Consider the following 15,357-nt stretch of genomic DNA (forward strand, 5'->3'; position numbering starts at 1 on the left):
TATTCATTAGAGTAAAACCAGGTCCTGGGCTTAAGAGAAGTTCTGTTTTTCCCAGCTCTAATGCCGGAAGGAGCGTCTTCCTGTGGTTCCTCCTAAAAGCCATACTCTATGTGCAATGCACGGTCAAGGGATCACCTGGGGCCCAAGTACTGGAATTCTACAAGGGCAAATAGCTATGTGGTTAATGCACAAGGCTTTCTGATAATATTGCTGCATCCAGGGATAAATGGCACATTCCTTGGAACAGTGGCTACCAAATTAGGCTCTGAAGAAGTACTTTAGGGGTTCCATCAATTTTCCATATGAATATTTTGTATTTAAAGACTTCTTAGCCTTTAAGTACAAAAACAAATAATAGGAAATGCAGGCAAATATATAGCACAACAAATGTTAACTTACTGATGACCACATCTACATTAAGTTGCTTCAAGTGCTGACACTAGACAAATGTATCTCCTGCTATCTCTTTGTATAAGTGAGTCACCGATTAGGAAAGTTGTAACTCTGCGTTGGTATTCTTTTGGAAATTCAAGTCTGCACATGTCCGTTCATATAAAACTGTACAAATGACCTACACATCCATCATGCTCAAACAAATGCCAGGCCAAGAGCAGGTACAACTAGTTGGCACACACCCTCACCATGATCTAATAGACAGCTGTATAATACTAAAGTGCCTACCGCGTTGCATCATGATAAAGTGACATCATTGACTGGTACTGATGCTAAGTTTTGGGTGCTTCTGGTCTGACTTTTATATCTATTATGAGGCACGTGAATAGCTGTATTATTATGAATTCAATGTTGAGGCAAAAAAATTATTTCCAGTTTCTATTAAGATTAATTCAAGGGGATATCAAGACAAAATGAGCTTGTTAAAAATTAAAACCTTTTGCAGCTGCATAAGGATTTTCCAAATGTCATACAACCAAAACAAAATACAGAAATAAATTAGGTATGTTACTGATACTGTTCTGCAACTGTTATCCACATTTTTGAGTTTATCAAAACTGTCTCACTGTTCTCCCTGATAAGTTTATAAATGTAAATTTGTACTTATAAAGCATATAATTAAAAATACCACTTATAAATATTTTTGTATATAGTTTTGTTGAACATTTTTTTAAAACTACACTTGCTGGACTAGTTCTCTTAAACATGTCAGGAGATGCTGATTCTGTCAACCCTTGGAGACTGGGTGGGGCCTGTCACCTCCAGCAATGACCAGCCTCATCCATAGGTGGCAATCCAACATAATCTAATTCAATGCCAATATAACATAATACAAATATTATCCTTTCCTCTGTCTGCCAAGTTGGGAAGCTCTGTGATGAACAAAGAAACTCCAAATCCTTCATACAATTCTTCATAAATCTTATTTCTTCGAAGAGCTTGTGTCAAGACCTGCCCAGTGGAGAGGACAAAGTTAAGTTCTTTGGCAAGAAACTGAAGTACAGATATTTCATCCTCATGATAAAGAGCAGAGTTAAGTGTAACATTCACTTGTGAAAAGTAAAGTGGCAAATCAAGAAGAGTGGATATTTCAGGAGATATGGACTCTTTTCCCAAGCCTGCCCCTTCCTAGTTTTGTGACTCCAAAAAGGTCATTTAACCTTCCCTGAGCCTCAGCTTTTTCAGTTATAACATAAAAAGACGAAATCAAGCTCTCAACTGGGATTGACCATTAGAAGCTTTAAAAAAGCTTCCCAGTAGCAGTAACATTAATACATGCCAAAAGTGTTCAGAGCACTTGACATTAACCCACTTAGTCCCTACAAGAACCCTACGTTGCAGATATTATGATTATCCCGACTTTATAGGTAAGGAAACTGGGGCACAGAGAGGTTGAGAAATTTGCTCAAACAAGAGGCGGGGCCAGGTGGAAAGCTCTGAGCCTGTGCTCTTTAGTATAAGTGCCTGTTATGCTGTTTCTCCATTAAGTATCTCTCTGTCTTCTGACTCCTGAATCTATAGAAGGACCTGACATGTAAATTTTGATTCTGGTGCGTGTTCCTCGTTAACAGCCACTTGACTAGAAGAGATGTAAAGTTCTGTAATTCAGACTAGAGATGAAAAAAGTTCAATAAACTTTTTAATTAAATAAATGCTCAAATTCTTGTGCCTCAAAAATCAGAGCCAAAATTAAATAAGTATGGCTTTTAAAAGGTAATTGCATGCTGTCAAACTTAAACTAAGGGTAATGAATAGGGGTGGTGGAGGAAAATCTAAGAAACAAAATATTATCTAGCCAGCTACACAGGGGCATTGAAATAGGTTAAGCATTGGAGCAAAAGCTATGCCTCATATTAAGGGACAGTGAAAACAATTCCACAATTTATGGCCTGGCTTTGAAGGTGAAGATGAAACACTTTGGAAGCCCACTTGGAAAGCATCAGTGCTCCTGTCCAAATGGGCTAGCAGGCCCAATTTGTTTCGAGGACCACAAATGAATGTCTCTTTGTTTCATCTTTAAAGAACTAGTCCTTATGCTGCAGGAAAGTGTCCTTTGTAAATCTGGAAATCTAAAGCTGTACATGCAAATGCTGATACTCAAACACATGCTGATCTCCCATGCAGATTCCTTTATTAACATGTGACACTTAACAGAGGCAAGAAGATGCTATGGCACAAAGAAAAAATGAGGGAGACAAGTGGTCCTGGCCCCTTAAGCAATTTAGACAAGCGTTAAGTCTGGCATGGCCAAGTTAGTAAGCGCATAGACAGGCAAGAGGAGAGAAAGTCCATGTGCCCTGGCAGCACCATAAACTTGGTCAGGATTGTTTGTGCTGTGAGTCTACTTTCTCGCTAATTCTAGATACACCATTTATGGAAACTCATCTTCCTTTCCTCCCACTCAGTTCCACGGCTCTCTCACGAAATTTCGTCTCAAAAGTCTCCAGTTTGAAGTCAAACAATTCTAATCAAGGGAGTTGCAAACACTTTATTAAATAAAAAACAACTTTTCAAATAATTTATACACCTAAAACAAAGTATAAACATCTAAGAAAATAATTAAGTATTGGAGATCACTGCTGACCATACAGGCTATCTCGACTGAGAGTTTCGAATCCACTATAAATAATCAGTGAGTAATAAACAAACAGAACACCTGTTTCAGCTGACAGAATGTTTAATTACTAGTCTCTCTTCTGCACTGAAGATTCAACAGCCTGGAATTCATGCATTACTTCTTTCTGTTTAATAGCCACACCAAAAGTACACTAACTCATAAAGCAAACAGGCACTCAATTTGCAGTTTCCCCTGAGAGTAGATGAGAATTTCCAGGTAAGAATAAAAACAAACTCTTTCTCCTGATCCCTATATTTGTTAATGATATCAAATTCCCAGTTTCTTAAGACTCCAAATCTTATACTCATCTTTGAACCACATTCTTCCTCTACCCTCCCTCTGGCCCACATTCTATCAAGGACAAACCTTGGGGCAGCATGTATCACCCACCTTCTCAGTGAAGTACAAGTCCTCTTCTGGTGTTAAAGATTCCCCCCATCATGGCATCAGTGAATACCAGACAGGGCAGGTAGGCAAGCTAGTCCTGTCTTCAGTGCTGGGGTGGGGCTGCCTAGCTCATCCTGAAGATTCATTCAAATGCCAAACTTTGCCTGATGCCCCCCATCACATGCAATCACTCCCTACTTTGTAATCTCAGTAGTAACTTTCTATCTCTCACATTCTGATCTACATTATGTGTGAAGTTCATTTTCTACACCTCCTTAAAGGTGGAAAATGTCTCAGTGCAGTATCTAGAAAAATCACTGGCATAATGTCTAATAAATATTTGTTAAATTACAAAAAAAATGGGATTCACCATTCACTTCTCCCCGAAGTGTCTTGATCTTATGTTTTAATCAGATTTATACTTACAGCAAAACTATAATGTTCTTATATGCCCATTATTTTCTAAAGCAGTATTAGGACTTGTAAGACAGTGACCCCTAAAAAATTGTTTCTTTTCATATATGCACAAACCCTCTCAGGCGCCTAGCAAATGACAAGTTGGATACCTTCTCTATGCTGTGTAATCTTGGGGAGCTGCACATTAGACAGCTAACCAGGAGCTGAGTTTCATATGACCAGCTATGCTAAAAGGGATTATTTTGCTAGATGTCAGGAAAGACAGGTTCCTCCTCTATCCTCCTGCCTTTATTTTGAGTTTTTTATTTTATTGGCTATTCAAGTGGACATAAGAAAAGGTGCTTTTTCTAATAAAATCTTGTTAAATCTATCATGGCCCAATATCTCTTAGGGTCCTGGAGAAATTAGTCTATTGTAGTTTGTGGTGCTGATGAGGAAGCAAGGGTGCTGATGAGGTAAAGAGGAAGTTAATAAAGTAGCATTCAGGGTACACTTGGAGAGGCAGAAAGCACAGTGGTTCAGAGGATGAGCTCTGGAGTCAGACTGTCCATTCTTAAGTTCTGGCTCCACCATTATCAGCTGTATTATCCTAAGCAATAAGAAAAAGAAATATCTTTCAACTTCATTTTGTTCTTCCTCCATGTTATGAAGCAGCAAGAAGGCCCTCACCTGATGCCAACATCATGCTCTTGGACTTTCCAGCCTCCAGAACCATAGCCAAATTAACTTCTTTCCTTTATAAATTACCTAATTTGTGGTATTCTATTATAGCAGCAGATAACAGACTAAGACAGAAAATTAGAGATGATAATTTTGCTCATAAAACTCTTCTAAGGGTTAAATAATAAAATACTTGGCATAGTTATCGGGAGACAACAAGCATTAGACAATTTTTGGCTGCTAGCATTATTTAGATGTTTACACATTACACAGAATTTTTTTTCACATGCATTTATTATGAACTAAAGATGAAGGGAAAAGTTATACATTTCTGAGATTCAACAGTAACTCAATAAGGAAATTCTACATAAAACCAAGCACAACTGCCAAATAAAGATTTTAGAGGCTTTTATTCCTGATGACAGTACTTTCACCTTCGTATAATGGTTAAATATCCCCAAGCTGCTGCTACAGAAATCCAAGGCTCATATAAAGGAACAAGGAAAGGATGTAAATACTATCTTCAATCACAGAGAAGGAAAGGGTGATTTTTAAAAAAATTCTTATGGTTATGATAATTATTTCCAGTGCCGGCTCCCCAATTAACTTCTGCTAAGGCTGATATTAAAACGGGTTTGCCAACAGCTTGTGTGCAGTATTTGGGCATTAGAAGACAGAATGGCTCTTTATCATGCCTAGGAGTAACAAAAAGATACCCTAAAGAAAAAGGTCAACTGACAATAACGAAGATTGGCTAAATTTCTAAATATCCATGCTTACCAGCAGATTTTATACTAAGGATACATTAGAAAATAGACATAACTGAGATTTTCTGTCAAAATATCAAATGCATGTATGAAGTAGGTACTTGGTAATAATTAATATTTGAGGTTTCAACAACTCAGGATGACATTAAAATTCCCTGACGTGCAGTTATGCTTAATACTGCAACAGCACACATTTGAATTGTGGATACTCTCACAGAGGAGAGCACGTTATGAAGCCAGTGAAGAAGCATAGCCCATTACCTAAGGTCCATATTTCAATAAGGTTTTGTTCTAATTGTGTACACAGCAATTTTCAAGAGGGGATTAAACACTGTGTTAATTTTTGAAAACTGCCACCCCCTAAGAAGACAAACCGACTGACAGTTCTAATGATAAAATCGAAGAAAGTATACACAGAGGTATGAGATGGTTCTCTATTGGGAAGCAGGTATTTATTTCATGGGATTTTCTTTTTCTGTGATGCTAAAATTATTTCTGTGAAATCTGGGGATTTCCAAAAGTCTTCAGACTACATACCTTGGTATGTCAAAGAAGTACTGTACATAAAGTATTACTTAAAGTGCCAACAATCTTCTAAACCAAGAGAAGTAATGATGCAACTAACATGAAAAAGAAAAGGATTCTATATTTCGCTTACCCAAGAGATGAATGGGAAGAAGATTCAGTTAATTACACAATTGCTCTTAAGCTCTCAACTCTGCTTTGGTGTCCATTTATTGGGCAGGGGACGGGGGATGATTGCGAAGGTTCTGTGTTTTGCTCAGTCTCAAATGCATCATGTGTTAAACTCTTCAACATGGAACCTTACTGGAATACTGTCCATGATGAGAGAATTGAGTTACAATCAGTGACTCAACATTTTGACTTAGCAGATTGGCATTCCTTTTTACGATGGGACAAATTCTGTAAACTGCACATCGTATAGATCACACTTTTCAGCAAAATGCTCAAGTTCCTTGGTCTAAGCCCTCATTGTGTCATTTATTATGTGTCATCCTATTATGCTAGCAATAACAGAAGCAAGCCAAGTTCCAGAAAATACTGTTATTAATATTTTATGTATGGAGAATCTTCTAGATCAATGAATAAAGAACTTGAGAAGATAAAAATGAGTTGTTTTCTGGAACAAAAACATTTGGAAATCAAAAGAAATCCTATGATTTATAAAACAAAATTTGTAAATGGGTGCAAGAAGCTATATAATAGTAATAGACACAAAAATGGAATGCATTTTCTATAAGTAACTGCAGAAAACTCATCACTTTAACCCAATTTTCACTTTTTGGGAAGACTAAAACATTTTTTACCAGTCAATAAAGATTAGTTTTTATTTTTTTAATTTTTAAAGGACACACTTAATGAGAGAAGAACTATTTGCCCACAACCCTATGTTTTTGTTTACTTTTATTTTTCTTTCCTCGACCCTCAAAGAAATATAAGAAATAAAAATTCACTAGATACAGATTTCAGTAGCTTTGTAAAATACCATTTTAAAAAAAACAGAAAATTCAAACAACTACAATACAATATAATATAGCTCAATATGTCCTAATCTCAATTATCTGAGATGTAGTAGCTACCAAAGAAAAAATCATCTGTGGATATTTTATTGTAATGCCTGTGAGTTAAATACACCATAACCACTATCACCATCACCAGCAGTAAGACAGTTCTTCAATTTGCTTGGAAGATAACACATAAAGGGTAAATTATATCTTAAAGAGAAGCTATTTCCTTATATTAGCCTCTAATTTAACCCTACACGAAGAGCTTCGGGTTTCTAAGACTCAGAGGCGTTGCTTTAGAATGATGCCGAATGCAGGCAATGAAACCTTTGGTCTATGTCTGTCACATCTGCATAGCAATCTGAATACTCCTGTGTAGAATACATGTGAAGCATGTGTGTCTCTTTCTTTCTAAAATAAATGTAATAACTAAGGGTATGTTCAGGCTTTTTGGACTGAGTCAAGTCATTTGACCTTGGGTCCCCTAACTCAAAATTCTCTCTTCAATTTAAAAGTGAGAACTGAGTCCCTCCTGGGTGGAATGATTTTCCTACCTCATCATAGGATCATTCTTTTGTATTGAAAATAAGGGCTCTCCTATTTCAGGTAATTTCTATACATTCCAAAGGATTTCCTATTTACATAGAGATTTCAAAACACTGGGTCTGTTGGGCCCATTGCTCCTTTCAGAGTAAATGTTGAAGGTAACTTCATAATAGGGTAAAAGCTGATTAAGCATCAAAAAACTATTTAATTTATTAGAATGCCTTCACTTTCAAATTTTACCCTAAAGGTAGCCTAATCATTTTGTAATAAAAGCGATGATTATTTAATTTCAGGGTGGAGAGAAAACATCTTTTAGCAGATGGATTGCTTAAGAAATCTTAGTATTACAGAGATCAATGGAGATGTACAAATAATGAATATAACCATTTCAAGTTGTCCTTCTCCTGTTAGTTGCCCTAATTTCTTATGACAGTAAGAATAACTTAAAATATTCTTTTAAATCCCAGCTACTTGGGAGGCTGAGGCAGGAGAATCGCTTGAACCCGGGAGACAGAGGTTGCAGTGAGCTGATCACACCACTGCACTCCAGCCTAGGCAACAGAGTGAGACTCTGTCTCAAAAAATAATTTAAATCAGCATTCAACAAACTAGCTAGTGGTTTCAGAAAAGCAAGTGGTTCATTGGGCCCTATTTGTAGATAACAAAAATAAAAGCATGGTCAAATCTGGGGAACACAGGGAGATGCTGGAGTTTTGGGACTAAGAGAGAACCACTAAAAGTCGGTGCCTTTCATGTGTGCTCTCTCCCAGTTAATGCAACTAGAGGCTTCCCTCTCACCTATGAGAGTCCTTGCCTTCTCCAATCCACTCTTCCTACTTTTGTCAAAATTAGCATCTGAGAGAGACAGAAAGAAAGGAGAGAAATTCATTATGCTACTCTTCTACTCCAACAGCTAACTTTTTCTCTGTAACTAAAGAATAAACTCCAAACTAAAATGTTAGCGTTAACTGTCTTAGTCAAGATGCTAACAATATGCCCCCAACCTACACCTCCAGCCTCATATTCCTTTACACCCACTGACACCCCGTCATGGGAACCCCGGGTAACTAACAACTGCCGAGTGCCAGCTCTGCACCAAGAAGCCCTTTCTGTGCCTTTTTAAACATCCAAGGGTTCTCACACCTCTTGGGCACTTCTTGATGCCTGGAGGATACTATTGCTTTCACCCTTCATGAAATTTTTGTTGTCCTTTAAGACTGAGATGTCATCTCCTTCCTGAAAGCTACCCCAATTCCTTCACATCAAGGTTAGCTTTCTTCTGGCTTCTCCCAGTACACCACATTGATGATAATACTATCCTGTCTCTCTGCTGACCTGTCTTGCTTTACTGTTTCACCTTTTAAGATCTGTGCTGTGTTCAAAAGCACAAGGAAAACTTACAGAGAAAATAAAACATAGGGACAGAAAATAAATATGTATTGAATATTATAAATGAGGAAACAGATTACATTTCAAAAATATTTCATTTTAAATAGTAACAGGCTATCATATCATAAGCTAGATTTAATTTCACATTTCTATTAAAGTCATATGTTTTACTGCACTTGGAAACAAGTTAAAAATTTACTGAATCAAGAATTGGTTTAGGAATGAAGGAAGGGCTGTCTGTAAAAGACGCAAAGAGTAGAGATTTTTCTTTTAATATCAAGTCACTGGTTTTTCCATTAAAATAAGTTACTGCTACACTGAGTTATCTAGAACTCTGCATATGATGTCAATACCACAGCAACCTTTAAGATACCCGGCCTTGGCCAACAGAGACTCTCAGACATTTACTCCACTACAAATCAGGGAGAGCCATTACCAAATCTTGCACACCTATGCTATTTGTAAATCTTTAAAAAAGGCTGGACATAATGGAATATTTCACATGCCACAGTAATTATTATGATGAGCAATAATCAGGGGTGGGTAGCATGTGGCTGCAACAATTCTTCTGCAAACACAGGCATATCTCAGAGACATTGCAGGTTTGGTTCCAGACCGCTGCCATACAGCGAGTATTGCAATAAAACAAGTCAAACGAATTTTTTTGTTTCCCAAGCATATGTAAAAGTTATGTTTACACTATATTGTAGCTTATTATGTAATAACATTATGTCTAAAAAAGCCCGGTGTGCATACCGTAATTTAAAAATACTTTATTAGCCAGGCACAGTGGTGCACACCTGTAACTCCAGCTACTCAGAAGGCTGAGGCAGAATCACTTGAGCCCAGGAGTTCAAGGCTGCAGTGCACTACAATCATGCTTGAGAATAGCCACTGCACGCCAGCCTGGGCAACACAGTGAGACCCCAATCTCTTAAAAAATATTTTATTATAAAAAAGTGTTAACAATCATCTGAGCTTTCAGCCTAAGTTGTAACCTTTTCATTGGTTAAGGATTTTGCCTTGCTGCTGATGGCTGCTGACTGATCAGAGTGGTGGCGGCTGAAGGATGGGATAGCTGTGGCAATTTCTTAAAATAAGACAACAATGAAGATTGCTGCATCAATGGACTCTTCCTTTCATGAAAGATTTCTCTATAGCATGCAATGCTGTTTCATAGCATTGAAGAGAGAAGGCTCACTTCTCTCAGCCTTCACAGAGTTAAAGAATTAGGGTCTTGCTCTGGATTAGGCTTTGGCTTAAGGGAATGTTGTAGGTGGTTTGATCTCCTATTCAGATCACTCAAATTTTCTCCACATCAGCAATAAGGACGTTTTGCTTTCTTATTCATTTGTTCACTGGAGTGGCACTCTGAATTTCCTTCAACTTTTCCTTTGCGGGCTGTTTGGTGCAAGAGACCTAGCTTTCGGCCTGTCTCGGCATTTGGCATGCCTTTCTCACTAAGCTTAATTTTGATTTTAAAAGGTTTTAATTTAAAGTGATAGATGGGAGATTCTTCCTTTCACTTGAACACTTGGAGGCCACTGCAGGGCTATTATTTGGCCTAATTTCAATATTATATCTCAGAGAAAAATGGAGGAGAAGGAGACAGAAGGGGAATGACCAGCCAGTGGAGCAGTCAGAACACACATAACATTTATTGATTAAGTCCTATATGGGAATGGTTTGTGGTGCCCCAAAACAATGAACATTAAAGATCACTAATCACAGATCACCACAACAGACATAATAATGATGAAGAAATCTGAAATATAGTGAAAATTACCAAAATGTGACGCAGAGACATAAAGTGAGCATATGCTATTGGAAAAATGCCAATAGACTTGCCCAATGCAGGGTTGCTACAAACCTTCAATTTGTATTTTTTTTTAAAAGCAGTATCTGCAAAGCACAGTAAAACGAGGTATGCCTGTACCCCTTCCTCCCAAAAAAAAAGCCTCAAGGAAGAGGAGGTTGGAGGTTATGTTAGCATTAAGCTACTTCCCTGGCTTTCTCAGCTTTCAAAATCAAAATCTGGTAGAGCTTCTTCCTCCTTTGTTTTAAATGTACAATTCAATATAAATTAAGCTTATTCTAGCAGAATTTCAAGGATGGAAGAAACAAGAGATACTAATATTTGTTCAGAGACAATTGTGTTGTAGGCTCTGGACCAGCTCTTTTACTTACATTATTTGATTTAATGCTTATCACAATTTTTGATAATAGCGTTATTTGACCTATTTTACAGTCTGTTGACTGAGAATTCAGAACTTGCCTAGCACTTTTAGGTAACTCTGGGATACCAAACCCAGCAATCCTGACTACAACGCTTTTGTAGTCTGGGTGACAAATCTGTTTAAGATGATACGCTGTTAGCATCATGTACTGTCACAGACATGTGGCTAAGTAATGTAACAGGCACTTGGAGAACAGAACTATATGGAAATAAGATGCTGATTATGAGCTGGCAATACATAAAAATTTAGAAATAAAGAGGAGAGTTACTGGTGTGGTCCAAGCACAAAGGAGGCAAACAGCGTTTGGACCTGGCCTTGCTGAATAGAGATGGGGAGGGGAGGCACCGGATGGGAGGTAGTAGAGGAGCAAATGGTTCTCCTGTCACACTGTAGGGAGGGAGGAGTCAGCCGGTTCTTCTGGTAGGGAGAAGAAGGAAGAAGGGCTGGAGAAGAAGGAAGAAGGGCCAAAGAAGAATCCACAAAACTTAGTGACAAAGGGACAAAGAGAAGGAGCTGCTGACTCCTAAAGCTTTCCTAAAGCTTCATGTTTAAGAAAGTAAATTTGGAAAAGAGACAGTGTTGAGAGAAAGGATATTTTGAATTTGAGGTTGAGTATGAGGTAAAAATAAAACAAATAAAATATTCAAATGGAAAATGTGCAGGAAAGTAGAAAGAGTGGAGAATAACCCTATCAGAGGATGGGACTATGGAGGAGGCAGCCAAGAAAACAGAAACCAGAAGGGCAGAGAGTTGAGCAGGAGAGGGATGAGAGTGAAAAAAAAAGCTAGGGAAAATAAGAGATATTTAAGATGCTAGTGCAGTTTCAGTTGAAAGTCTGAAGGCAAAATAAAAATGGCTAAGATGTCAAGAAAATGGACACAACATGAGCCCTCAATTCATCCATCTAAACAGTCTGCCTGAGAAGTCTCAATGAGAGAAATATTGCATTGGCAAATATTTATATGACAAATAGACCACACAGATAAGCACGGTCAAGCAGAGTGTTTGTTTGGCTTGATTTCAGAGAAGGAAGAGAATTAGGCCAAGGGATAGTAGATGAATCCTTTTGGCTACCTGGATTGTTCCATTTCCTGAACTTGCTGGTTAACTGTACTGATATCTTCTTTGTGAATAGATAACCTCTTAGAAATAGGGAGCAAAGTTGCAGCAGCCTACAGCAGTCAAGGTTCCAAGATTCCTCGTACGTGTTTCACAATTTAGAAGTTAACTAGAGCTGGTTGACATCTTTCATTAAATGTTTCTAGGAAATTTATCTCTTTTCAATCCAGATTACCTGACAGCACTGTCACCACCCTGTATCAGGAACTTAGGCTAGTTGGCTTCCAGTCTGAGCTCCTACCCCACATGCCTCCTCCTCTTAGCCAGGGTGATCTACACTTTCCAGGGTCATGACTCCCTCTTTCGAGTCTGGGTGGGGCTGCCTTTCCCTGTCATCTCAATATCACAACATCTGCTTTTCCACTGTAACCGCCTCTAACATTACAGCATCTCTATGTTCTACTTCAAACACAGTTTTTAAAAAATATTTTTTGTTTTCCTCTCTAGTTTTTAAAATCTTCATGTCATACTTGCCTTTGGACTTCATGCACTGTTTGTATGGAACTGGGCCACCATGATAAACATTCCTGGCTTGTCCCCATCTTTCTGTTAAATAATCCTCTAAAATATCCAAGCCCCCTGCAGAGCCAAATCATTTGTTTCCTTCGTTACCCCCCTAATTCAGCCTCACCAGGTCAATTTGTAATTACAGTGCTAAATTTTTAGTTCTAAGTATTTCTTTTCTTTTTTAGAGGTATGGATTTATATCTTTTTTTCTGAGATGTTTCTGATACCTACTTTTCTAAAAATCTCTAATTATGTCCAGTGGTTTTTTAAGCTCTAGCATGAGTCCCTTCCTCATAAGGTTCTTGTCACTTCTATGTCACCAACTAGCTCTTCTTTATTGGAAACAATTAAGTTCAGAACAGGAATGCTCTTTTGTGCTTTCTCTACATTCTAAGGCACGAAACTCTCAGCAAGTCAAATTTGGTATTTACTAGATTCTCTGTGTTAAATGGAATGAAGTTTCCAGCAAATTTTGAGATAGACTCTTCTGTTATTGTTATGTTTTGCCTCTGCATGGTACATATCAAGAAGACTATTATCAGACTTCAGTATAAAACCTGGGATTGTACAAGAGCCTTCCTTTGCAAGTGACGGGAGAGAGTGAGGGCTGCAAAGCGTTATTGCTGCTATTGATAATAGCAAGGAGAGTAATGTTTACACACGTTAAGAAAATCCATACATGTCAAAGAGAACAACAAAAAAGAAATGAATATTCTAGGAAAAATGATAAAATGTTCTTCTGCCACATTTGTAATATGATTCAGTTCAATAAAAAAATTACTGACTCAATTTTTCAAGTACATATTTACTGTATATAAAACATGGCATTACTCCAGTATTTTAGGGTTAACTGTCTCCTTGACATCAAAACTCACCCTACATAATTCAACACTAGCTGAAGAACAATTTGTTTTTTGAATTCCTCTCCTCTTCTCTTACACCTCATGAATTTGAGAGTTACGTCCATTCTTCTGCTTCTTACAGTCATATTTTTAGTTCCTTAGACTTTATGGTGCTCTTATCTACCTGTAATTACGCTGCAAAAACATAAGACAACGCCACTGAAAGGCCAGCAGCAGAGGAGATAGCAAAAGGCTTATTTGTGGTCTTGAACAGCTGCAATAGGGCAGGGCGTGCCTGGCAGGGTTCCCTCTGCCTCCAGCCAGCAATGACAAACCCCAAGAGCTGGGCTTGCTTTCACAGCAGTCGCTAGTGCAGGACATTATTTCACTGCCCCAAAAGCCAAGGACTGGAGTCAAAGTCCACAAGGGCTGATCAAAAAGGGGGACATGAGAAAAACACAGGGAGAGTGCTGGGAGGGATGGCCTTCTAGAAAGTTCTCCAGATCCTGAAGAGCAACCACCTGCTGTCCCACCCCTCCCCTTTCAAAACAAACACAGCACAACAACCATCACTCCTTCCCCCACCCATGGAAGGCCAGATGTTACTTTTAGTTCCAGTTTGGAAATAACTGACCAAGTTAGTTTTGAATTTTTTTTTCTTAAAAAAATAAGAAGTAATGAATCTGGATTTTGACCAGGAAAAGAGAAATGAGATGTTATCAGTCAGATGTTTTGAAATTCAGGTAATAGGAAACATTCTCTAGCAAAAGTCTTCTATTGCAGTTATGCAAAATTCTCTCTTTAAGGGACCATTATTGTCTTAGGATAAATAAAAAGTACGCTTATATGTGTAGGCTTTTCTAGCTCGATGCAATTTGATGCTTTCAGTCCTTACACAATGATCTTTGCACTATACAGTGCTTCTGGCTCCTTGTTTTAAAATTAGTGCTTTCTTACTTAGTGAGTTAGTGTAATTGCAGCAAAGAAGCACATTTATATTCTATTCATTGACAACATTAGCATATAATGCAAATTTACTTTGGAACTTTATGCACATGCACACATCCCTTCAGAACACTCTGAAAGGGCAGAATTGAGTTCTTATTCCTAAAGTGATGAGGGTGTACAATCCAGACCACAAAACTATGGATGCTAATGGGGACAGACTAATATGGTCCCAGCTGGAATTAAGAGCTTACAGTCAGTATGACGTTAGATGGTTAACAATCTTTCTGACAAACAATGATAGCTAAAGTTCCTCTCATAGGATAGACCGGCCCTCAGAGGTGCATCCACAAAAAATGAGAACTCCTGAAAAATATCTAGCCATAAGTTTTTTTTAAAAAAATTCATATTTTACTTCTCATATGCCCATAAAGTCAAATTCTATTGAGAAAATGCTCCAATTCATTTTGATATGTAGCCAGTCTGATGATGTTAATATTGACTCAAAAAGTATTTAAGAAGTTAAAACTTGAAACCCATTTTATTGTTGTGACACTGAGAGTCCACAGATACTTCTTATAAACTTCTCTTATAATGCAGTATATATCACTCTATAATATGATCAAGAAAATACTTAGCAGCTAAAATAATAGGAACAACTACTACTTACGGTTGACAGAGCTTCACCAGGTCCTGGTCGGTGGTGTGGGGAGGCAGTCCTCGGATATAGAGGTTCGTTTTGCTGAGCTGATCCCATCCTGAGTTGCTACTGCTGCTACTGTTGTTATTACTGCTGGTGGTGCTGGGACTGGGAGGGGCCATGGGGTGGGCTGGGACCAGAGACTGCTGGAAAACAAAGATCAGGAGCCTTAGTATGCTAGCATTAGGAGGCTGACACCAAATAAAATGAAGTTACCAAGATTTAAATATAGATTACTTTAAGCT

The 15,357-nt window shown here is 38.0% G+C and overlaps 1 protein-coding gene across 3 annotated transcripts in view; it reads right to left on the reverse strand.

The window, feature by feature from the left end:
* The window catches only part of RBMS1 (RNA binding motif single stranded interacting protein 1), a 221,657-nt gene that overhangs the window by 79,983 nt on the left and 126,317 nt on the right, over positions 1-15,357 (reverse strand). For all 3 annotated transcript variants that reach the window (NM_002897.5, NM_016836.4, XM_047445368.1), the window contains exon 2: positions 15,083-15,258. In NM_002897.5, the coding sequence (NP_002888.1) occupies positions 15,083-15,258 (176 nt within the window). The remainder of the gene's footprint in view (positions 1-15,082; positions 15,259-15,357) is intronic.

This window comes from Homo sapiens, chromosome 2 (assembly GCF_000001405.40).
Source record: "Homo sapiens chromosome 2, GRCh38.p14 Primary Assembly".
NCBI lineage: Eukaryota > Metazoa > Chordata > Mammalia > Primates > Hominidae > Homo > Homo sapiens.